Source organism: Homo sapiens, chromosome 1, assembly GCF_000001405.40.
Source record: "Homo sapiens chromosome 1, GRCh38.p14 Primary Assembly".
NCBI classification, from domain to species: domain Eukaryota; kingdom Metazoa; phylum Chordata; class Mammalia; order Primates; family Hominidae; genus Homo; species Homo sapiens.
Window position 1 is genome coordinate 1,330,723 of NC_000001.11, and position 20,280 is coordinate 1,351,002.

The following is a 20,280-nucleotide window of genomic DNA, read 5'->3' on the forward strand; positions in this document are numbered from 1 at the left end:
GCTCCCAAGCAGACTGGGAGGGCAGCACCACCACCCCAGGGCCCTCCCCAGCTGCAGGGTGGAGGCCTGGCTGGCCGGCTGCCCACTGGCCTGACTGGTCTGCAGGCCTAGGGGGCCCATCCCTGCTGCCCCCGGCTCCGGCCAGCACAGCCTTGAGTGGGAGCCAGAAGCTCCCGGGGCTGGGTAGGAGGCATTTCTGTGCTTATGAAAAGCCCCAGGGCTGGGTGTCTCTGCATCCCTCCCACGCAGCTGAGACCTCAGAGCCCTGGAGGCCCCTTTGCCCCCTCTCCTCTCCACAGCCTGCTGGGCAACTCCAGGAATCGGGGGGTGGCAAGGGGCTCAGCCACAGGCAGGGAACAAGGCCACGGCCAGCAACTGAGCAGAGCCTGCCTGCCGGTCAACGCTGGCCATAGAGCCTGGCAGTGGCCTCAGGCAGAGTCTGACGCGCACAAACTTTCAGGCCCAGGAAGCGAGGACACCACTGGGGCCCCAGGGTGTGGCAAGTGAGGATGGCAAGGGTTTTGCTAAACAAATCCTCTGCCCGCTCCCCGCCCCGGGCTCACTCCATGTGAGGCCCCAGTCGGGGCAGCCACCTGCCGTGCCTGTTGGAAGTTGCCTCTGCCATGCTGGGCCCTGCTGTCCTGGGCCTCAGCCTCTGGGCTCTCCTGCACCCTGGGACGGGGGCCCCATTGTGCCTGTCACAGCAACTTAGGATGAAGGGGGACTACGTGCTGGGGGGGCTGTTCCCCCTGGGCGAGGCCGAGGAGGCTGGCCTCCGCAGCCGGACACGGCCCAGCAGCCCTGTGTGCACCAGGTACAGAGGTGGGACGGCCTGGGTCGGGGTCAGGGTGACCAGGTCTGGGGTGCTCCTGAGCTGGGGCCGAGGTGGCCATCTGCGGTTCTGTGTGGCCCCAGGTTCTCCTCAAACGGCCTGCTCTGGGCACTGGCCATGAAAATGGCCGTGGAGGAGATCAACAACAAGTCGGATCTGCTGCCCGGGCTGCGCCTGGGCTACGACCTCTTTGATACGTGCTCGGAGCCTGTGGTGGCCATGAAGCCCAGCCTCATGTTCCTGGCCAAGGCAGGCAGCCGCGACATCGCCGCCTACTGCAACTACACGCAGTACCAGCCCCGTGTGCTGGCTGTCATCGGGCCCCACTCGTCAGAGCTCGCCATGGTCACCGGCAAGTTCTTCAGCTTCTTCCTCATGCCCCAGGTGGGCGCCCCCCACCATCACCCACCCCCACCCAGCCCTGCCCGTGGGAGCCCCTGTGTCAGGAGATGCCTCTTGGCCCTTGCAGGTCAGCTACGGTGCTAGCATGGAGCTGCTGAGCGCCCGGGAGACCTTCCCCTCCTTCTTCCGCACCGTGCCCAGCGACCGTGTGCAGCTGACGGCCGCCGCGGAGCTGCTGCAGGAGTTCGGCTGGAACTGGGTGGCCGCCCTGGGCAGCGACGACGAGTACGGCCGGCAGGGCCTGAGCATCTTCTCGGCCCTGGCCGCGGCACGCGGCATCTGCATCGCGCACGAGGGCCTGGTGCCGCTGCCCCGTGCCGATGACTCGCGGCTGGGGAAGGTGCAGGACGTCCTGCACCAGGTGAACCAGAGCAGCGTGCAGGTGGTGCTGCTGTTCGCCTCCGTGCACGCCGCCCACGCCCTCTTCAACTACAGCATCAGCAGCAGGCTCTCGCCCAAGGTGTGGGTGGCCAGCGAGGCCTGGCTGACCTCTGACCTGGTCATGGGGCTGCCCGGCATGGCCCAGATGGGCACGGTGCTTGGCTTCCTCCAGAGGGGTGCCCAGCTGCACGAGTTCCCCCAGTACGTGAAGACGCACCTGGCCCTGGCCACCGACCCGGCCTTCTGCTCTGCCCTGGGCGAGAGGGAGCAGGGTCTGGAGGAGGACGTGGTGGGCCAGCGCTGCCCGCAGTGTGACTGCATCACGCTGCAGAACGTGAGCGCAGGGCTAAATCACCACCAGACGTTCTCTGTCTACGCAGCTGTGTATAGCGTGGCCCAGGCCCTGCACAACACTCTTCAGTGCAACGCCTCAGGCTGCCCCGCGCAGGACCCCGTGAAGCCCTGGCAGGTGAGCCCGGGAGATGGGGGTGTGCTGTCCTCTGCATGTGCCCAGGCCACCAGGCACGGCCACCACGCCTGAGCTGGAGGTGGCTGGCGGCTCAGCCCCGTCCCCCGCCCGCAGCTCCTGGAGAACATGTACAACCTGACCTTCCACGTGGGCGGGCTGCCGCTGCGGTTCGACAGCAGCGGAAACGTGGACATGGAGTACGACCTGAAGCTGTGGGTGTGGCAGGGCTCAGTGCCCAGGCTCCACGACGTGGGCAGGTTCAACGGCAGCCTCAGGACAGAGCGCCTGAAGATCCGCTGGCACACGTCTGACAACCAGGTGAGGTGAGGGTGGGTGTGCCAGGCGTGCCCGTGGTAGCCCCCGCGGCAGGGCGCAGCCTGGGGGTGGGGGCCGTTCCAGTCTCCCGTGGGCATGCCCAGCCGAGCAGAGCCAGACCCCAGGCCTGTGCGCAGAAGCCCGTGTCCCGGTGCTCGCGGCAGTGCCAGGAGGGCCAGGTGCGCCGGGTCAAGGGGTTCCACTCCTGCTGCTACGACTGTGTGGACTGCGAGGCGGGCAGCTACCGGCAAAACCCAGGTGAGCCGCCTTCCCGGCAGGCGGGGGTGGGAACGCAGCAGGGGAGGGTCCTGCCAAGTCCTGACTCTGAGACCAGAGCCCACAGGGTACAAGACGAACACCCAGCGCCCTTCTCCTCTCTCACAGACGACATCGCCTGCACCTTTTGTGGCCAGGATGAGTGGTCCCCGGAGCGAAGCACACGCTGCTTCCGCCGCAGGTCTCGGTTCCTGGCATGGGGCGAGCCGGCTGTGCTGCTGCTGCTCCTGCTGCTGAGCCTGGCGCTGGGCCTTGTGCTGGCTGCTTTGGGGCTGTTCGTTCACCATCGGGACAGCCCACTGGTTCAGGCCTCGGGGGGGCCCCTGGCCTGCTTTGGCCTGGTGTGCCTGGGCCTGGTCTGCCTCAGCGTCCTCCTGTTCCCTGGCCAGCCCAGCCCTGCCCGATGCCTGGCCCAGCAGCCCTTGTCCCACCTCCCGCTCACGGGCTGCCTGAGCACACTCTTCCTGCAGGCGGCCGAGATCTTCGTGGAGTCAGAACTGCCTCTGAGCTGGGCAGACCGGCTGAGTGGCTGCCTGCGGGGGCCCTGGGCCTGGCTGGTGGTGCTGCTGGCCATGCTGGTGGAGGTCGCACTGTGCACCTGGTACCTGGTGGCCTTCCCGCCGGAGGTGGTGACGGACTGGCACATGCTGCCCACGGAGGCGCTGGTGCACTGCCGCACACGCTCCTGGGTCAGCTTCGGCCTAGCGCACGCCACCAATGCCACGCTGGCCTTTCTCTGCTTCCTGGGCACTTTCCTGGTGCGGAGCCAGCCGGGCTGCTACAACCGTGCCCGTGGCCTCACCTTTGCCATGCTGGCCTACTTCATCACCTGGGTCTCCTTTGTGCCCCTCCTGGCCAATGTGCAGGTGGTCCTCAGGCCCGCCGTGCAGATGGGCGCCCTCCTGCTCTGTGTCCTGGGCATCCTGGCTGCCTTCCACCTGCCCAGGTGTTACCTGCTCATGCGGCAGCCAGGGCTCAACACCCCCGAGTTCTTCCTGGGAGGGGGCCCTGGGGATGCCCAAGGCCAGAATGACGGGAACACAGGAAATCAGGGGAAACATGAGTGACCCAACCCTGTGATCTCAGCCCCGGTGAACCCAGACTTAGCTGCGATCCCCCCCAAGCCAGCAATGACCCGTGTCTCGCTACAGAGACCCTCCCGCTCTAGGTTCTGACCCCAGGTTGTCTCCTGACCCTGACCCCACAGTGAGCCCTAGGCCTGGAGCACGTGGACACCCCTGTGACCATCTGGGCCCCAGAGCCAAGCTGTGTCCCTGTCCCTCTGTGCCCAGACCAGGCCTGCCCAGGTAACCCAGACCCACTGTTCTGGAAAGAGGCCCGGAGGGCTCCCAGGGTACCCGCAACCCACACCGTGAGCTCAGGAAAAGGACGCAGGGAGGCCCCGGCCAGATGGCTGGAAGCCCAAATCAGGCCCTGCCGACCTGACCATGTCCCACCAGGGCCCCCATCCTGCACCCTGCCAGGCACCACAGCAGTGGGAGGCCAGGTGGGGGCACACAGGCATATGCCCAGGGCAGAGCCCGCCGAGGTAGGGGTGGCACCCAGCTTCCTACTCTGCCCTTTGCCCAGTGGGTAGACAGCATCATGACTGTCACCAGTACCAGGGACAGAGCCCAGGTGGGGTGGGGGCGGGGTCCAGCACCACGGCCAGCACCGACCACCAGGACCCCGGAGCCAGCACCATGGACAGAAAACTGCCCACCAGGATCTGACGCCAGCACGCCGCCAGGCCCACACAGGGTCTCCGGTCAGAGTCCCAGGGTCAGCTCCCAGCAGGGCCTAGGGGAGGCTGGACCAGCTCCCTGTGCCTCATTCCAAGGCAGCCCAGCCGGAGAGAAGGGGCACAGGCCACACATCTGTCCCATAAAATTAAACGCTTTTTAGTGTTTAAAATAAGCAGCATTTACACAGAAGCAGCTCTATGTTAACCATCTAAACGCTGGGACTTTGATACAGTATCTACAGCACAGACACGTGGGGGCCAGAGAAGCCAGGAAGGCCGCGATGTGTGCGCGCAGTGTGTGCACTCACCAAGGACGGGCCACCTGACTGCCCATCTCCCCAAGACCTCCCTCCCTGTGGCAGCTGTGCACATCGGGGCCCCTTGACCCTGCGGGCCATGGTCCCTCCCTGCCCTGGCTGGGACACGGTGGGCAGGATGTCCAGCCCTCTCTCGTCTTCCGGTCCCGTCCTCCACGTACTTTCAGACTGTTGCCGGATGGGAGGAGAGAAGGTGCAGGCTGCTCCAAGGGGCAGCAGCAGGTGGGACAGATGACAGGGTCGCCTCCTCCCCCGAGTCACCGGCCAGGCAATAAATAAATAAATTAGATCCCTACTCCAGACAGGGGGCCTGTGCACCGCAGGGGGTTGCCCCGCATGGACCACCCTGGGGGCCTGGGCACAGCTGTGCAGGAGGTGGGGGTCAGCCGAGAGCCCGAGGGGGTCTTCCTCATCCCAGGAGGGATCCCCACCAGACACAAGGGGTTGGGAGGTCCGAGGCTCTCGCTGAGGGGCAGAGAGGGAGCGCCCCCAACACGGCTGCTCAGACACAGGTGCTGTCAGGAGCTGGAGCAGCCAGGCTGCCAGGGCAGATGGTGGTGGTCCAGCCTGCCCCCCACCCTGCCTCCCGTCCTGGCCCCCACGAAGGCAAGCCCACGCGAGCTCTGCATGCGGCAGGACCGCCAGCTCCCCACCTCAGGCAGGGCTGGGGCATGCGCCACGAGTCACATGATGTCCACGAAGAACTCGCAGGGGTTCCCCATAGCCTTCTGGAAGGACTGGCGGCTGCCTGTCAATTCCGGGGGGACGGCAGCCAGCTCCCGGACAGGGGGTCCCCCGGGTGGCCCCCCCACCACTGTATAGGCCTTGGTCGTGGGGTGGGGCGGGGGGAGCCCCGGGGCGGTAGCCGAGGCCTGACTGCGTGGGCTGCTGCCACGGCTGAGCTGGCCGGCCGGACGCTCTCGCCAGCTGCTCCCCACCCCACTCGGTGCCGTGTGATCCGATTCACTGCCACTGCCCCCAGCTCCCGCCGCCCGACGCTCCTTCTCACGGCCCGGGGCCCGGCGGCTGCTCCGGGTGGACCCACTGCTTTTGCTCCCTGGGAGTGAGAACAGGATGGGGAAGGAGCCTGTCAGCACCAGGCCCGGCCACGTCCAGAACAACCGCCCCCGCCAGGTGACCGGGCAGGAACGGTGGCCCGTGCAGGACGGGTGGGTGGGGCAGCCATGCAGGCGCGAGGACAGGGCCGGCACCCCCAGGGTCGCAGGGGCAGCTGCGGCAGGCATGGGCTGGTGGGGGCAGTGGGAGGCAGGCAGGGTCCTGGGGCAAGCTGGGCGCCCCCACACCTCACCCCGATGCTTGAGCTGAGGGCCTGGTCTTGCGGCTGAAAGACTGAGGTGCCAGCGAGGGCCCCTCATGCCCGGTGCCCCCGTGGCCATCCTGGATTCCCCACCCAAGGCCCCACTGTCCCCCCGGCCCAGGACCCTGGCCGACGGATGACTCAGCTCAGCCCTGTCCTGGGCTCCCAAGACGCAGTGGGAGCTGGAGGGCGTGGCTGGCTGGGGACATGCTGAGGGACCCCGGGCGGGACCCTGGCTTACCGGCCCAAGGTCCGCTCCGCTAGTCCTTCAGTCTAAGGCTTGTTTAGCACAAGACAAGGGATAGCACGAGTTACACGCCCGGCTGCCTGGCACCTGCCCAGCACCCACCCGCCACCAGTGGGGACTGACCGCGGGCTGGGCGGGGCTGAAGTGGGCGCAAGCGCCGGTCGAGGGTCAGTAGACACCCAGCGTGGCTTCTCTGCGGTCCCACACCCTCTGGCCGCCTCTCCTCTCTCGCCCTCCTTCCTGGGCCCTCCACGAAGCCACCTGCACCCCTCCCTGGCCTGCAGACGCCCCTGCTGGCCTCACCAACCCCACCCACTGGGGCCTCTGCTCCACCAGGCAACACCTCAGGAACACTCTGGATCCCCGGCCCCTAAACACACCCCAGCCAGGGGCACAAGGCTAGGATGCACGGCACCATCCACGTCAGGCTCCCTACCCGGGCTGCAGCTGCCACCCTCCTGTGTCCTGGGGCCTAGAAAGTGACCCTGTCAGACTCCTTGGCCACCCCTGCCCTGTCCTTGTCACATGGCCCATGGCCACATGGTCTCAGGGCCTCCTGCCTCTACCATAGGAGAACCACCAGCCGCCACCCCTACCAGGCACAGCCGCCCAGGCCGCCAGGCTCCTGGAGGCCCCTCATCCCAATCCCACCCAGATGAGGTGGGGTCCAGGCTGCCCCTGTGTGAGACGCTTCCCTGTCCTCCCCATTCACACTGGCTCCTGGATCCCCCTGGCACTTGCCTTTTCCAGAAGGAGCCCACCCAGGGCCCAAGTACACAGCAGGAGCATGGGATTGGGGTCAGCAGAGAAGCAGGGCGGAGCAGCAGCGGGGTGGGGTGGAGCTGGGGGTGGAGCAGCAGCGGGGTGGGGTGGAACTGGGGGCGGAGCAGCAGTGGAGTGGGGCGGAGCTGGGGGCGGAGCCGGGGAAGGGCAGGTAGGGGCGGCGTTCTCACCTTCACTCTGCTGACTCCCGGTGCTGCCGCTGCCATAGCTAAAGCCCGGGTCCTGGTAGGCAGGCGGGAAGCAGGGTGGGGGTCCCGGGTACTGGTAGGGGTAGCCCTGACCCAGAGGCCAGGGGGCAGCCGGGTGGGGCAGCGGGGCCAGCGTGTCCTGATCCGAAGTCCCACTGGAGCCACTGTTGAGGTTCAGGGTGGCGAGATCTGGCGGGGGAGGGTAGGTGAGGGCCGCGGAGGGGCCTCCGGCGTTCCCCTCCCCCCCGCCCTGAAGCCCGAAGCCCCCACTCACTGCTGCAGAGATCCCCGAAGACGTAGTAGCACTGCTCGGAGAAGGTGATCTTGTTGACCGTGTGCCGCAGGAAGCCGTGCTTCAGCAAGCTGCTGGCGTACTTCCGGGCCTCCCGCCGCTCCTTGAAGCCCTCCACGTGTGTGTACAGCCAGTCCACCACGTCCGCCCCTGGCCGGCACCAGCGGTCAGCCCGCAGCCTCGAGGCAAGCAGCCCTGCCCCTGGCACTATCCGCCCGCGGGGACGGCCACTCACCGATGACGGCATTGGCGATGGTGATCTTGAGCCACATGCGGTCGCGGATCTCCAGTCCCGAGTCTGGCAGCTGCATGACCCGGACGACGGCGCTCATGTCACTCTTCACCGTCAGCGGCGCCTCTTCCAGCTCTGCAAAGCACAGACAGCCCCGCTTCAGCCCCAGCATCTGAAGGCGGGGGACTCAGGGCCCTGCACCCCCAGGGGAGCCTCTGGGCAGAGCCTGCGCCAGGGCGCAAGCTGGACGGTGCGTGACAGCAGGGCCCCGGCCCACTGCAGGATGCACCCCCGTGAGGCTGGGGCGTGAGCAGGGGGGTTGGACATTTAGTCTCCCACTTCTACAGACACTTTTCATCAGGATCCTAGGCACAAACTGGGCTGACACCCCACCCTGCAGACCAGGAAGTAATGAGAACAGGGCAGGCCCCTTCCCCTCCCCGCATGCCCCACCCGAGAGCGCAGGCTGTTAGTCGTGTTAATGGCAGGAAGCAGAATGGAGACCTGGCCCCTGCCTCTGACGCCGTGGGTGCTCCCCGCATAGGGGCCCTACGTACATCCCCTGTTCCCAACACACAGACCATGAGCAGGATGGGCTGCACAAGGTGGGCACGGGTGCCTGTGCACACGTCTGTGCAGGGAGTTGGGGACAGGCAACACACACGTGTCACAGCCCCATGACGGCCACAGGCGGCCATGCTGGAGGCTGGCAGAGACGCCCCCTCCAAGCCTCGGTTTCTGCTGGGGCCCTCAGGAGCTGCCACTTACGTGGAGCACCAGGCACGGAGCTGGTTAGTGAGGAGGAGCTGGTGCGCGTGACGGCGCTGGAGCAGGGACTCGTACCGTAGCGGGGCAGGGCTCCTGTCAGTGCCGCCGTGTGGGACAGCCAGGCGGCGGGGTCGATGGGCCGCACCGGGTCAGCTGGGTGGCCGCCACGTGGCGATGACAGGCGGACAGATGGACAGGGTGGGAGGGCAGGGTGCAGGGCACAGAGGAGAGAGGCCTTCAGGCTAGGTAGGCGCCCCCTCCCCATCCCGCCCCGTGTGCCCCGAGGGCCACTCACCCCGTGGGACGGTGAAGTAGCTTCGGGGCGTTGGGTCCCAGCACTTGGCCACAGTGAGGCTGATGGGCCTGCAGGAACGGTGGTCACACAGCAAGGCCCCCATGGTCCCACCTCCCTGCCTGGCCCCTCCCGCTCCAGCGCCCCCAGCCCTCACCCCGTCTGGGAAACGATCTCCCGCAGCACCCGCACGGCATCGTCATTGCTCATGTTCTCAAAGTTCACGTCATTCACCTGCAGGGGTGGGGATTAGGGTGGTGCAGGCAGGATGTGCAGCTCAGTCCACCGCCCCCGCAGACCCACCCACAGCCGCATGTCCCCCAGCAGCCCCCGCAGACCCACCCGCAGCCGCATGTCCCCCAGCAGCCCCTACAGACCCACCCGCAGCCGCACGTCACCCCAAAGTCCCCACGGACCCACCCGCAGCTACATGTCACCCCGCAGCCCCCACAGACACACCTGCAGCAACATGTCGCCGGGCTCGATGCGGCCGTCAGCGGCCACAGCCCCGCCCTTCATGATGGAGCCAATGTAGATGCCGCCGTCTCCACGGTCGTTGCTCTGCCCCACGATGCTGATGCCCAGAAAGTGATGTCTTTCTGCAGGAAGAGCCATGAGCCGCGGCCAAGCCCCTGCCCCTGCCCCCAACCCTCGCCCCGAGGCCTCACCCATGTTGAGCGTGACAGTGACGATGTTGAGGGACATGGTGGAGTCGGTTATGCTGCTGAAGGAGGAGGCCTATGGAGGAGAGGGGGCGTGTGTAAAAGGCACGGGGCTGCCCGACACTGACTTCGCCTCCCCAGCCCCGCCCTGCTCCACCCGGCTGCCTACCCGGTCCGCCTGCCGAAGGCGCTGCTTCCTCCGCCGGCGTTTGTGCTTCCGGATGAGTCTGGATGAGGTGCTCTGCTCCGTGGAGCTGCTGAGCCTGGGAACAGACTGTCAGAGCTCAGAGGAGCTGGAGACATGGGTAGGGGGGTGGGAACCCGCTCCCCCAATACTGAGTGGGAATCGGGGGTCTAGGCCAGGCTTGTTCCAAAGCAGGCTCAGTGCCTGACGTCCACGCCCCAGGCCCTGCACACGTGATATGCATATGAGCACACACGAAAATCCCAGAGACAGGCAAACTGGGCACAGACACATGTAGCCAGATCCACTACTGACACACCTGCACACATGCACACCTGCACACACATGCACACCTGCACACACGCACCCCTGCACAAGGCACACATGCACACACCTGCACACACACCTGCACACACGCAACCCTGCACACATGCACCCCTGCGCACAGGCACACATGCACACCCCTGCACACGCACGCATGAACACACGCACACCTGCACACGCATGCACACCTGCACACACGCACCCCTGCACACTACACACCTGCACAGGCACACATGCACACCTGCATACTCACCTGCACACGCACCCCTGCACAATGCACCCCTGCACACACGCACCCCTGCACACACATGCACACCTGCACACACGCACCCCTGCACACAGGCACACCTGCACACACCTGCACACGCACGCCTGCACATGCACACCTGCACGCACACCTTCACATACACCTGTACAAGCACACCTGCACACACGCACATCTGCACACGCACACCTGCACACACGCACACGCACACATGCACACACCTGCGCACACGCGTGCATTGTGAAAACGCTCACGTGCACACTGTGAAAACGCACCTCACACACACATACATGCACACACAGACATGCGCATCATGTACATAAACGTTTGCACACAGGTACATGCACAGACACATCCGCAATGTGAAAACGCCTCACACAGACACACATGCACAAGCAGACACGTGCATCATGTACACGTTTGCACGCGGGCACACACACAGGCGCGCACACACGTGCACAGTGAAAACACCTCATGTGGAACACGTGCACAAGCACACGTGCATCATGTACACAGACATTTGCAGGCACACACATGCACACACACGCACACACGTGCAATGTGAAAACACCTCATGCAGACACATGCACATCATGTACAGACATTTGCAAGTGGGCACACAGGCATACACGCCCACAGACACTCCCACACACCTGCTCGTGCTGCCATCCTCGTCCGAGTCCACAAAGCTGCTGGACTCAAGCTCGCTGCTGAGGGCGGTGGACGCGCTGTCTGGGGGCAGCCCCACATCCCGCCGTCGGTCTCCCCTTGGGTGCCCATTGGTCCGGGCGGCTGTGGGGGCAGCAGGTTGGGAACTGACTGCAGGGTCTCCCAGAGGTCATGGGTTTGGGGCTGCCTGGGCAGTGCTGCATGCCTGTGGGTCTGGGAGCTGGCAGCTCAACTGTAGGCTCGCTGGGCCTGTGCCTCCACCCAAGCACCGCCACTGGCTGGGGGACAGGAACTGCTGTAGTAGGAACATGGCTCATGGGGGTCCCAGGGAGGCTGGGGGTCCACAGCTGGGCAGACATGACCACTGTACCCTCCTCGCGGTTCCGGCGTCGGGCACGCTCCCGCCGGTGACTGACCATGGACTCCGTGCCTGTCTCGTTGTCCATCCCGTCACGGCTGCTGGCCACATTTGGGCTGTGCAACAAGAGCAGGGTGGGTGGGGAGGCCGTGGCCCCAGCCCCTCAGATGCCGCCCAGCCCAGCCTCCCCTCGCCTGTGGGACCCCAGCCCCAGCAGGTGCCACGCCCGCCTACTGGCCCAGGCAGGCCTCCCTCCCCTGTTGGCCAGCAACCCCCATGACAGGCTTGGGGTAGCAGGGCCCAGCGCCCACGGTGTCCTTACTGGAAGGAGGGGGGCCGGGAGTCCCCGATGCCGCCTGTCCGCTCAAGAGGCGGGGGCAGGTCTGTGTGGCTGTCCGTGCCCTGGGACCCCGCATCCGAGTGAGCACCCTCAGCCAGGACCAGCTGTGGAGGGAGCAGGCATGCTCAGGGGAGCCCACCCGCCTTCAGGACGCCTCCTCAGGGCACCCAGGGAACAGGGGGCCAGCAAGCTGCCCTATCCGCACCCAGCCTGCCAGGGCCTCCCCACACCCACCGCCTCCCCCAGGAAGAGCCCCACCCTGGAATGCTCCCCAGGCGAGCCTTCGGGGCCAAGACACAGGGGCTCACCCAGGAGACCACGCGGCCGTTGAAGCAGGGAAGCTTGGCATTGTCATCAAAGATCTCCTCCTTCACCACCCTGTGGGCATATGCTGCCGTGAGGCCCCACCTGGGGGGCCCAACCCTGCGGTTCTAGAGGTGAGGCCTGGAGAGCAGGCGCTCCTCCTGCCCACACAATGTCACTCTGTGGACACCCCTGCTAGCGCATTCTCCTCTTGGGAACCGTCCTTCCTCTCCGTCACATCCTGGGCCCCCACCCCCCCAGCATGGGGCCAGTCACTCTGCGGACACCCCTGCTAACGCACTCTCCTCTCGGGAACCGTCCTTCCTCTCCGTCACATCCTGGGCCCCCACCCCCCCAGCATGGGGACAGTGGCTGTGGACATCCTCACAGGGGCAGCTCAGCCAAAGGCTCTCAGTCCCCTGCAGCGTTGGTCCCCAGCCCCCAGGTAGGAGGACAGCTAGGGTGAGGCCTCCTTGGGAAAGCCCCCGTGCCCAGCTGCCCTCGGTTCATGTATGTGGTGGCCCCAGACGCTGTCTCCAACCACCCCCACCTCATCTGTTCCTGGGGCTTGGAGCCCCCCCCCCCCAGGGCTTCCCCCACACTGGGACTCCTCAGGGCCAGGCCCCAGCCTCCTCAGCAGCAGCAGCTGCACCTACCGGGCCCCAAGGCTCCCCAGGCTATTCCCTGTCCCTTGCCCCAGACCTCAGGTCCACCGCTCCACCTCCCAGCCAGCTCCAGACCAGCCGCCCACCCCTCAACAGCCAGGGCATCAGGCCACCTGCACCCACCCCTGCACTCAGACCTGTCATTCCCAACCAGGAGCCCAAATCCCCCAGCAGCCTCCTCTCCATCATGCCAGCCATGCCCTATGGCCCTACTCCACCCTCCTGGCGTCTCAGGAGCAGCCTCAGGTCCCAGGCCCTGTGCCTGCCTGCCCAGGGTCAGGCTCTGTGAGGGCAGGGCTTTGCCTGACCCCTGCCCTGCACCCCTAGTCAGGCTCACAGTCCACCTACAAGGACTCTCAGACCCGACGGACGGACGTAGGTGGGCTGGGAGGGCCCACAGGTCCCCAGAGGCCGCCCACCACCCTCCTGTCCTGTCCACCTAGCCAGGGAGACAAAGACCTCCACTCACCAAACCTCCCTGCACCTCAGGACCTAGAGGGGCAGCAGGGGATGCGGAGCCGGCAGGGCCCCCAGGAGAGCAAGCTGGCCAGGTGCCTCACCAGTCCACCCCCAGGTCAGATAGGCTTGGGAACGGGGCAGAGGGCACCCAGGCAGGCCGCAGAGGGTCAGGGGACACGAACCAGGAGGAGGCCGGGTGACCCGAGCTCAGAGTTCAGAGGGCAGGGTGGCAACCCACACGGCACAGAGGGGATGGCTGGGCAGGGGCAGGTCCCCAGGCCAAGGAGCAAGGCAGGCAGGGCTGTGGTCGACACTCACACTGTGACCTCTGAGGGCCCAGGCAGCAGGCTGGGTAGGATCTGGACGCCGCCTCGTGGCACCCTGCCCTGCCCAGCAGCATTTTCCACGCCCGGGACTTGGGCCCAGTGGAGAAATAGGAGCCCGGAGACGGGGCTTGGCCTGGCCGCACACCTGGCAGGAAGCGGCCTTGTGGCTGCTAGTCCCACTGCGAGCTACAGAGCCACCCCGACTGGCCGCTCCAGGTCCCCTGACCCCGGGGCACCTTGACTCAGCCAGACTCCGAAGCAGTAGGTAGCAGGAGGCCCCCGGCAAAGTGGCAAACCCACACTCTCACCCAAGCCCTGGCCCACCCACTTGCTGGGAAGAGGCCCCAAGCCTCAGGGCAGAGTGGACAGCAGGCAGGGCCAGCCCAGGTGGGAGCAGGGACCCCTACCTAGCCCTCTGGGGTCCTGCAGCTGCCTCCCCAGGCCACCCAGGGCCAGGCCATGAGGTAGACGCCCCCAAAGAGCAGAGAAGGTCACTTCTCAGACCCCTCCACGTCTGCTGCCCCCACACAGGAGCCTTCCCAGGTAAGACCATGACCCCATGCCAGGCTGAGGCCGCCACAGTGAGAGGCTGTCACACCTGAAAGGCTGGAGCAACCCAGGGTGAGGCGGGCCCCACGGACACCGAGGCCACCACTAGCTGCCGCCAGGGGGCCAGGGCCCACAGTGAGCCCTTGTCTCTAATGGACCTGACCACAGCAGAGCCCCTGGCAGGGTCCCCACCTCAGTCCCTGACACACGGCCCCAGGTGGCCTGGCCGGCAGCTTCTCCCCTGCCACACCCAACCCCAGCACCCTCTGACTCACCTGAGGGAGACACTCAGTCACCCAGCACCCTCTGACTCACCGGAGGGAGACTCGGCCACCCAGCACCCTCTGACTCACTGGAGGGAGACTCGGCCACCCAGCACCCCAGTACAGCACCCGCCTGGCTCCACCGGAAGAGGGCCCTGCCCCCTCCCACCATCCAGAGTGGCCCAAGCCCGCATGGCCCACCCAGCCAGGGCCTCACGAAGACCCCAGGCTGCCTGGGATGTCCCTGCCCCCTGCCCCCTCACAGATGTCCAGCCAGGACCCAGAGGCCCTACTCACTCCGCCCTCTTCAGCCCAACAGGGTGTAACAAGTCCTCCCCTGCCCCCAGTGGCAGGGTGCAGACCCAAGCCTGGCTGGGCCAGGAGAAAGGGAGCAGGACCCAAACAGCACAGAGGGAAGGGTGGGGTCTGCCTGGGGCTCCAGGGATCAGCTACCCAGGTCCCAGGCAGAGCCCTGCCGTCCCCACCCCAGCCAGATGGGGGAGGGTGCTGGAGGCTGGCCAGGCATTGGGGGCGTACCCACAACCCGGGGTCCCCGCGCCTCTGTAGCAGCCTCCGCTGAAACTCACGGCAGCTGCCAGGGGCGCCCCTGCCGGCACTGTGCCCCCACCTTGGGATTCCCTGTGAGGCCTGGCTAACCTGTGTGCTGCCCCCACAGACCCGCCCCGGGGAGGAATCCACTCAGAGGCAGCGCCCTGGGAGCCAGCATGGCCACACAGGATGCAGAGAACCCTCCAGACTCCCAGAGGCCACAGCCAGCTGCCCTAGACGTGGCGTGGTCCCGAATGCACCCCATTCTCCCAAGGCGGAGCAGGAAGCTGGCAGGGGTAGCTGGCCCAGGACAGGCGGTGCAGAGCCATCCTGTGCCCTCAGAGCCCCCTGTGCACGCCCCAGGTCAGGGCCCTCAGCCTTGGGGGTCTGTGGCCTCCCAACCCCTGACCCCAGAGCCAGGGGCTCTCCACCAGCCTGTCCCCTGGGTGGTGCCGAGTCCTGGGATCTCTCTGTGCCCCTCCCCCGGTTCAGGACACACAGGCTCAAGTGTCCCTGCTAGGCCATGGCTATGAGTGCAGTAGGTGAACTGCCTGGACCCTCCCAAAACCAGGGAGGCACTCAGGGCACAGAGAGGCTGAGTCACAGACCCCAAGTGGCACAGCCAGGGAGGGCGGAGTGGGAACTCCCCCCACAGCCCAGGCCAGGCAGAGCCTCCCCAACTCCATAGCTCCCCACAGCACCACCCAGGACACAAGGAGCTGTCACAACACCGAGGCCCATGGCAGGCGGCCCTGGGGACCAGGGCTTTGGGCCCACAGCCTTGCCTCCACCCATCCCCCAGTCCCAGGCCTGGGTCACCCCCACCTCGGAGATGAACTGTGGGAGCTGTGCCCAACAGACAGCCTCGGTGCCAAGTCCAGCAGGCCCAGCATCCGCCACGCACCCAGCAGTGGGGACCCGGAGCCAAACACCCTCCCTCCTCTGCCTCGGCCCAAGGCTGGGCGAGACCCCCTGCCAACCACCAAACCCAGCACCAGGCAGAGACCCTCCCCAATTCTGCCCTCCTCCCAGCCCTGGGGATCTTGGGTCAGAATAGCTGTGACCAGGGCATGAAAAGTGGAGGACAGGCGGGGGACCTTCACCCACTGGGCCAAAGCCGTGCGTGGGGAGTGGGGTCCAGACCAGGGCACGTGGTTGTGGCCATGACACAGGCTCCCTGCACTGCAAGGTGGTCAGTCATGCTCTGGAGCAGAGGCTGGGGAACCAGGGCTGGGCTGAGAATGCAGCGGGGGCTGGCGCAGGAACCCCCGACTCACCAGGGCCTCCTCAGCGTCCCCAGCCTGAAGCTCCCTCTCTTATGAAGGCCACCCCAGACCAGCGAGGACCTGCCTTCTCTTCCCCCCATCTCCAACTACATTCGCTTGGCATCCAGGGTCAGTGTCTAGTTCAGCAGTCGCTTAAGCTAAAGTATTACTGACCAACCAGCCCCTCCCACGGGGGTTCTATTCCACAGAACAGACAGTGCTGAGAGGTCTGCGGGTAGAACTCAGGGGAAGGGATGAAGGAAGTAATTGATGAGGGTCCTCCGTAGGCTCCTGAGGCCACCAGCCAGAGGACCAGGGAGGACACAGAGCAAGGCCCCCATCCCAGCCAGAGGACCTGGGAGGCTACAGAGCAAGGCCCTCGTCTTGGACCTCCAGCATCACCCCAGTCCATTCTTTCCAACCCCCACAGCCCAGCCCAGCCCAGCCCTGACCTCTGCAGCCCCACTGACTCCCAGCCCCCTGTAAGTCTGCAGCCTCCAAAGCTGTACACTGAAGCTCCCCTGTCTCTTTCCTGGCCGCATCCCCAAGCCTGCCTCGACACCCAGACCTGCCCACCCTGTTCCCAGGCCCGGGCACCCACGCGTCCTCCAAATGTGCCCAGCAGGTGCAGCCACTGCTAGAAGTGCACTAGGGCAACAGTCAGGCTGTCTCTGCCCTGGGCAGCCCCCGGTGGGTGTCAGGAGCAGAAGGCGGACTCCCCCAGGGCTTCATCCCAGAGCATGGTCCAGGAGCAGAACCTGGGGGCTGGGCACCTCCTCACTACGCATTTCCTGGTGGCACACATTTGCAACAAACAGCATTAGTAACTTTGGTAACTTTCGTTAGAATAATAAACTAAGTCAAAAACAAAAGTACCTGACACATGCCCCATGCTCAAGGCCAAAGCAGCCCAGGCCCAGAGAAGCAGGGACTGCAAGGTGCCCCAGCTGGGGAGGAGCCCGGACCAGACTCAGAAAACAAACCGCCCCCTCCTGCCCAACCTGACCGGAGCGGGCAGGAGGGCCGCTGAGCCGAGTGGGGAGCGCCCAGCCTTCAAAGGCTGCCAAGGACGCACCCTGCCCTCTCTGCTTTGCCTGGTCGTGGGGGTGGGGAAGGAAAGTACAGCTGTCTAGATGTCCCTTGGGCCCCCCTGAGAGCTCCAGAGCGGACCCAGCCTGACTGGACCTGGGGCTGCCTGAGGACCCTGCAACCACAGAATCCAAGAAACAACCTTAATGTCACAATCCCAAGAAGCGGCCACACACAAGGACACCGCTTGCCGGAGGCTCACCTCCTGGGGCCACGAGGCCTGAGCCCGCCCCCAGCACTGTTGAGCTGGGACTAGGGACTCAGGTTACTGGTGGCTGGGCCGGGCCAGGCCAGGCCTCAAGCAGACCGCCAGGCTCCTGCTCCCTGTCCCAGAGGGCCCAGCTCAGCACAGCAGGGGTCTCCTCGCCTGGGACACCACCACCGAGGCCCAGCAGGGAGACGCTGACCCAGGCTGCCCCGAAACAGCAGATGGTCTGGGCTGCTCCGGGAACGCAAGTGCTTTGTGGCTCAGTGGGGACGGGGCCCACAGGAAGCTCAGGACACGGGTAGGCGAATAAAGTTTCATGGTCACCAGTGGCCCTTGACCTCCACCCTGTCACAAGGACCCTGCAGAAGGGGGCCAGGAGAACCTGTCTTGACCCTCGGGAAGCTTCTGCAAACCCTAGCAGACAGGTTGGTGAACCTGTACCCCCATGTCTCCCCATCCCAGCTAGGGAACCCCACCCTGCTTCCTTCCCACTGACACGCCCCTGACCCCAGCCCGCACCAACGGCAGGCGCTCCCGGCCAGCCCCGGTGGAAGCGATGCGGCCGACCGAGTCTGACACGGGCCAAGGCAGGACTCGGGGCCGGGAAGCTGGGGCCAGGGACGCCGGGAACCCCGCCTGCCATCGCCCCGCTCCACGGACAGGTGGGCGCGCGCCGCACACGGGCCGAGGCCGCCACCCGCGCCGCATCTAGCGGAGGCGCGTCGCGGTCGCAGGTCCCCGGGGGCGCGAACGGCTCAGGACCCCCGCCCCGTCCCCGCGCGGGCAGGTGCGACCCCCGAGCCCGCGCCAGGCTCGCGCAGGCCTCGCGGCCGACTGACCCGAAGTCCTGGTCCATGGACTTAAAGAAGAATTTGTAGGCGTGCACGGGCCGGTTGCTGAGCACGTTCTTGAAGTCGGCCAGCGTGACGCGCTCGGGGGCCACGGGCAGCTTGACCAGGTACGGCGTCTCCTCCTCGTCCATGTGGTAGATAATCTTGGTCTCCGCCATGGCGCGGCGGCGGCGCGGAGCCCGCGCGCTCAGGGCCCGGCCCGGGGCTCGGACGCGGGGCGCTACCCGCCCGCCCGCCTGCGCCCCGCCCGGCCCGCACCGCTCTCGGCCCCGACGCTCCGAGGCCCCCGGGCGCCCCCGCCCGACCGCCCAGGCCCCGGCCGCCGCCCCCGGCTCCCGCGCGCGTCCCGACTGCTGCCCCGCGGCCCGCGGCCGCCCATCCGCCCCCGGCCCGGGAGCGGCGCGAGGGACGCAGCACGGAGGGCGCGCTCAGCCCCGCCGCCCTCCCGCCTGCGCCCCTCGGGCCGCGCCGTTAAAGGGACCGCCCGGCCCGGGGTCCTGAGCGTGGCCGCGGGGGGGCGCCCGAGCGCGCGGCGTTGACGTCACGGGGGCGCACGGCGGGGGCGGGGCGAGGATGCGCAGACGCAGGCGATCATCGCTCGCCCCGCCCCGCCCCGGCCCCGCCCCCGCGCGCGGGCCCGCGCTCCATTATGATCCGGCGCATGCGACGCGCGCCGCTGGCTGTGGGCCCGTGGGCGCCGGGGCGCTCGGGTCGGGCGGAGGGACCCCGGGGACGCCGGGTGCGCGGCGCTGAGGTGGCGCCCGGTCGCTCTGCGCCACCGCGAAGGCTCCCGACTCGCGTGCCCTCTGCCGGGTCCCACGGGGTCCAGGCAGCAGGCCGAGCGGATGCGGGGCGCGCGGGGGCGCGGGCGTGCACGGAGGCGTCGGAGCGCCCGGCGGCGGGAGGGATTTAGTCCTGGGGTTCTCCGCAGGGCAGGGGAGACTTCCGAGGCGTCCCTTGAGGCCGCGGGGCGTCCGCGCTTACTGTTCCGGGGCTCGCGGGGCTGGAGGCCTTCCCGACCCGACCCCAGCAGGAAGCGCGGAGGCCACTAGAGGGCGGCCCAGGATGGGAGGAGTGAGGAGGGGGCCTGGACGGGGCAGGAGCGACGGGGGGAGTGAGGAGGGGGCCTGGACGGGGCAGGAGCGACGGGGGGAGTGAGGAGGGGGCCTGGACGGGGCAGGAGCGACGGGGGGAGTGAGGAGGGGGCCTGGACGGGGCAGGAGCGACGGGGGGAGTGAGGAGGGGGCCTGGACGGGGCAGGAGCGACGGGGGGAGTGAGGAGGGGGCCTGGACGGGGCAGGAGCGACGGGGGGAGTGAGGAGGGGGCCTGGACGGGGCAGGAGCGACGGGGGGAGTGAGGAGGGGGCCTGGACGGGGCAGGAGCGACGGGGGGAGTGAGGAGGGGGCCTGGACGGGGCAGGAGCGACGGGGGGAGTGAGGAGGGGGCCTGGACGGGGCTGGAGCGACGGGGGGAGTGAGGAGGGGGCCTGGACCGGGCAGGAGCGACGGGGGGAGTGAGGAGGGGGCCTGGACCGGGCAGGAGCGACGGGGGGAGTGAGGAGGGGGCCTGGACGGGGCAGGAGCGACGGGGGGAGTGAGGAGGGGGCCTGGACGGGGCAGGAGCGACGGGGGGAGTGAGGAGGGGGCCTGGACGGGGCAGGAGCGACGGGGGGAGTGAGGAGGGGGCCTGGACGGGGCAGGAGCGACGGGGGGAGTGAGGAGGGGGCCTGGACGGGGCAGGAGCGACGGGGGGAGTGAGGAGGGGGCCTGGACGGGGCAGGAGCGACGGGGGGAGTGAGGAGGGGGCCTGGACGGGGCAGGAGCGACGGGGGGAGTGAGGAGGGGGCCTGGACGGGGCAGGAGCGACGGGGGGAGTGAGGAGGGGGCCTGGACCGGGCAGGAGCGACGGGGGGAGTGAGGAGGGGGCCTGGACGGGGCAGGAGCGACGGGGGGAGTGAGGAGGGGGCCTGGACGGGGCAGGAGCGACGGGGGGAGTGAGGAGGGGGCCTGGACGGGGCAGGAGCGACGGGGGGAGTGAGGAGGGGGCCTGGACGGGGCAGGAGCGACGGGGGGAGTGAGGAGGGGGCCTGGACCG

General features: G+C 67.4%; 2 protein-coding genes and 1 non-coding gene across 10 annotated transcripts, besides 8 other annotated features; 1 reads left to right on the plus strand and 2 right to left on the minus strand.

Moving 5' to 3' along the window:
• The first annotated feature begins 557 nt into the window (after nt 1-557).
• TAS1R3 (taste 1 receptor member 3) lies at nt 558-4,592 on the plus strand. Of its 4 annotated transcripts, none has more exons than NM_152228.3 (6): nt 558-814; nt 916-1,216; nt 1,302-2,084; nt 2,199-2,402; nt 2,537-2,657; nt 2,784-4,592. In NM_152228.3, the coding sequence occupies exons 1-6, from the start codon at nt 624-626 to the stop codon at nt 3,740-3,742; spliced, it is 2,559 nt and encodes an 852-aa protein (NP_689414.2). In that variant the 5' UTR covers nt 558-623; the 3' UTR covers nt 3,743-4,592. The 4 variants fall into 4 exon arrangements, with proteins under 4 accessions (NP_689414.2, XP_047287527.1, XP_016857924.1 ...); XM_047431571.1 differs by having other exon boundaries at nt 2,540-2,657; XM_017002435.2 differs by having other exon boundaries at nt 2,537-4,592.
• Nucleotides 4,556-18,696, minus strand: DVL1 (dishevelled segment polarity protein 1). 5 transcript variants are annotated; one of them, XM_005244733.5, is made up of 16 exons: nt 18,174-18,696; nt 11,967-12,036; nt 11,641-11,762; nt 11,331-11,434; nt 10,945-11,083; nt 9,688-9,781; nt 9,525-9,594; nt 9,316-9,455; nt 9,014-9,090; nt 8,860-8,927; nt 8,640-8,717; nt 7,800-7,931; nt 7,547-7,714; nt 7,255-7,461; nt 6,296-6,333; nt 4,556-5,793 (listed from the first exon to the last, which is right to left on the minus strand). In XM_005244733.5, the coding sequence occupies exons 1-15, from the start codon at nt 18,341-18,343 to the stop codon at nt 6,323-6,325; spliced, it is 1,650 nt and encodes a 549-aa protein (XP_005244790.1). In that variant the 5' UTR covers nt 18,344-18,696; the 3' UTR covers nt 4,556-5,793; nt 6,296-6,322. The 5 variants fall into 5 exon arrangements, with proteins under 5 accessions (XP_005244790.1, XP_005244789.1, NP_004412.2 ...); XM_005244732.5 differs by having other exon boundaries at nt 8,565-8,717; NM_004421.3 differs by lacking the exon at nt 6,296-6,333.
• Nucleotides 7,222-7,281: a silencer, noted in NCBI's record as "silent region_61". NCBI's record gives its function as "represses an Ori minimal core promoter by ATAC-STARR-seq in GM12878 lymphoblastoid cells {active_cell/tissue: GM12878}" and the evidence as "EXISTENCE:reporter gene assay evidence [ECO:0000049][PMID:35858748]".
• MIR6808 (microRNA 6808) lies at nt 8,928-8,986 on the minus strand. The gene has a single exon (NR_106866.1). It is a non-coding gene; the product is annotated as a microRNA 6808 (primary transcript).
• Nucleotides 15,319-16,197: an enhancer, noted in NCBI's record as "H3K4me1 hESC enhancer chr1:1281421-1282299 (GRCh37/hg19 assembly coordinates)". NCBI's record gives its function as "activates a minimal SCP1, AML or CMV promoter by ChIP-STARR-seq in primed H9 embryonic stem cells {active_cell/tissue: H9 hESC(primed)}" and the evidence as "EXISTENCE:reporter gene assay evidence [ECO:0000049][PMID:30033119]".
• Nucleotides 16,399-17,028: an enhancer, noted in NCBI's record as "H3K4me1 hESC enhancer chr1:1282501-1283130 (GRCh37/hg19 assembly coordinates)". NCBI's record gives its function as "activates a minimal SCP1, AML or CMV promoter by ChIP-STARR-seq in naive H9 embryonic stem cells {active_cell/tissue: H9 hESC(naive)}" and the evidence as "EXISTENCE:reporter gene assay evidence [ECO:0000049][PMID:30033119]".
• Nucleotides 17,029-17,658: an enhancer, noted in NCBI's record as "H3K4me1 hESC enhancer chr1:1283131-1283760 (GRCh37/hg19 assembly coordinates)". NCBI's record gives its function as "activates a minimal SCP1, AML or CMV promoter by ChIP-STARR-seq in naive and primed H9 embryonic stem cells {active_cell/tissue: H9 hESC(naive and primed)}" and the evidence as "EXISTENCE:reporter gene assay evidence [ECO:0000049][PMID:30033119]".
• Nucleotides 17,211-17,387: a silencer, noted in NCBI's record as "fragment chr1:1283313-1283489 (GRCh37/hg19 assembly coordinates)". NCBI's record gives its function as "represses an EF-1alpha promoter that drives an FKBP-Casp9 reporter gene in an ReSE screen in both phorbol 12-myristate 13-acetate-treated (for megakaryocytic differentiation) and untreated K562 erythroleukemia cells {active_cell/tissue: K562 | K562(+PMA)}" and the evidence as "EXISTENCE:reporter gene assay evidence [ECO:0000049][PMID:32094911]".
• Nucleotides 18,548-18,727: a silencer, noted in NCBI's record as "silent region_62". NCBI's record gives its function as "represses an Ori minimal core promoter by ATAC-STARR-seq in GM12878 lymphoblastoid cells {active_cell/tissue: GM12878}" and the evidence as "EXISTENCE:reporter gene assay evidence [ECO:0000049][PMID:35858748]".
• Nucleotides 18,828-19,147: a silencer, noted in NCBI's record as "silent region_63". NCBI's record gives its function as "represses an Ori minimal core promoter by ATAC-STARR-seq in GM12878 lymphoblastoid cells {active_cell/tissue: GM12878}" and the evidence as "EXISTENCE:reporter gene assay evidence [ECO:0000049][PMID:35858748]".
• Nucleotides 19,168-19,317: a silencer, noted in NCBI's record as "silent region_64". NCBI's record gives its function as "represses an Ori minimal core promoter by ATAC-STARR-seq in GM12878 lymphoblastoid cells {active_cell/tissue: GM12878}" and the evidence as "EXISTENCE:reporter gene assay evidence [ECO:0000049][PMID:35858748]".

Excerpts from the sequence above, each read along its gene's own strand:
- TAS1R3 (XM_017002435.2), top strand. The coding sequence starts at position 624 with ATGCTGGGCCCTGCTGTCCTGGGCCTCAGCCTCTGGGCTCTCCTGCAC. Across the intron at positions 815-915 it reads AGCAGCCCTGTGTGCACCAG|GTTCTCCTCAAACGGCCTGC; the intron begins GTACAGAGGTGG and ends GTGTGGCCCCAG. Across the intron at positions 1,217-1,301 it reads GCTTCTTCCTCATGCCCCAG|GTCAGCTACGGTGCTAGCAT; the intron begins GTGGGCGCCCCC and ends TGGCCCTTGCAG.
- DVL1 (NM_001330311.2), bottom strand. The coding sequence starts at position 18,343 with ATGGCGGAGACCAAGATTATCTACCACATGGACGAGGAGGAGACGCCG. Across the intron at positions 9,782-10,944 it reads GAGGATGGCAGCACGAGCAG|GCTCAGCAGCTCCACGGAGC; the intron begins GTGTGTGGGAGT and ends GTCTGTTCCCAG. Across the intron at positions 8,928-9,013 it reads GAGATCGTTTCCCAGACGGG|GCCCATCAGCCTCACTGTGG; the intron begins GTGAGGGCTGGG and ends CCGTTCCTGCAG.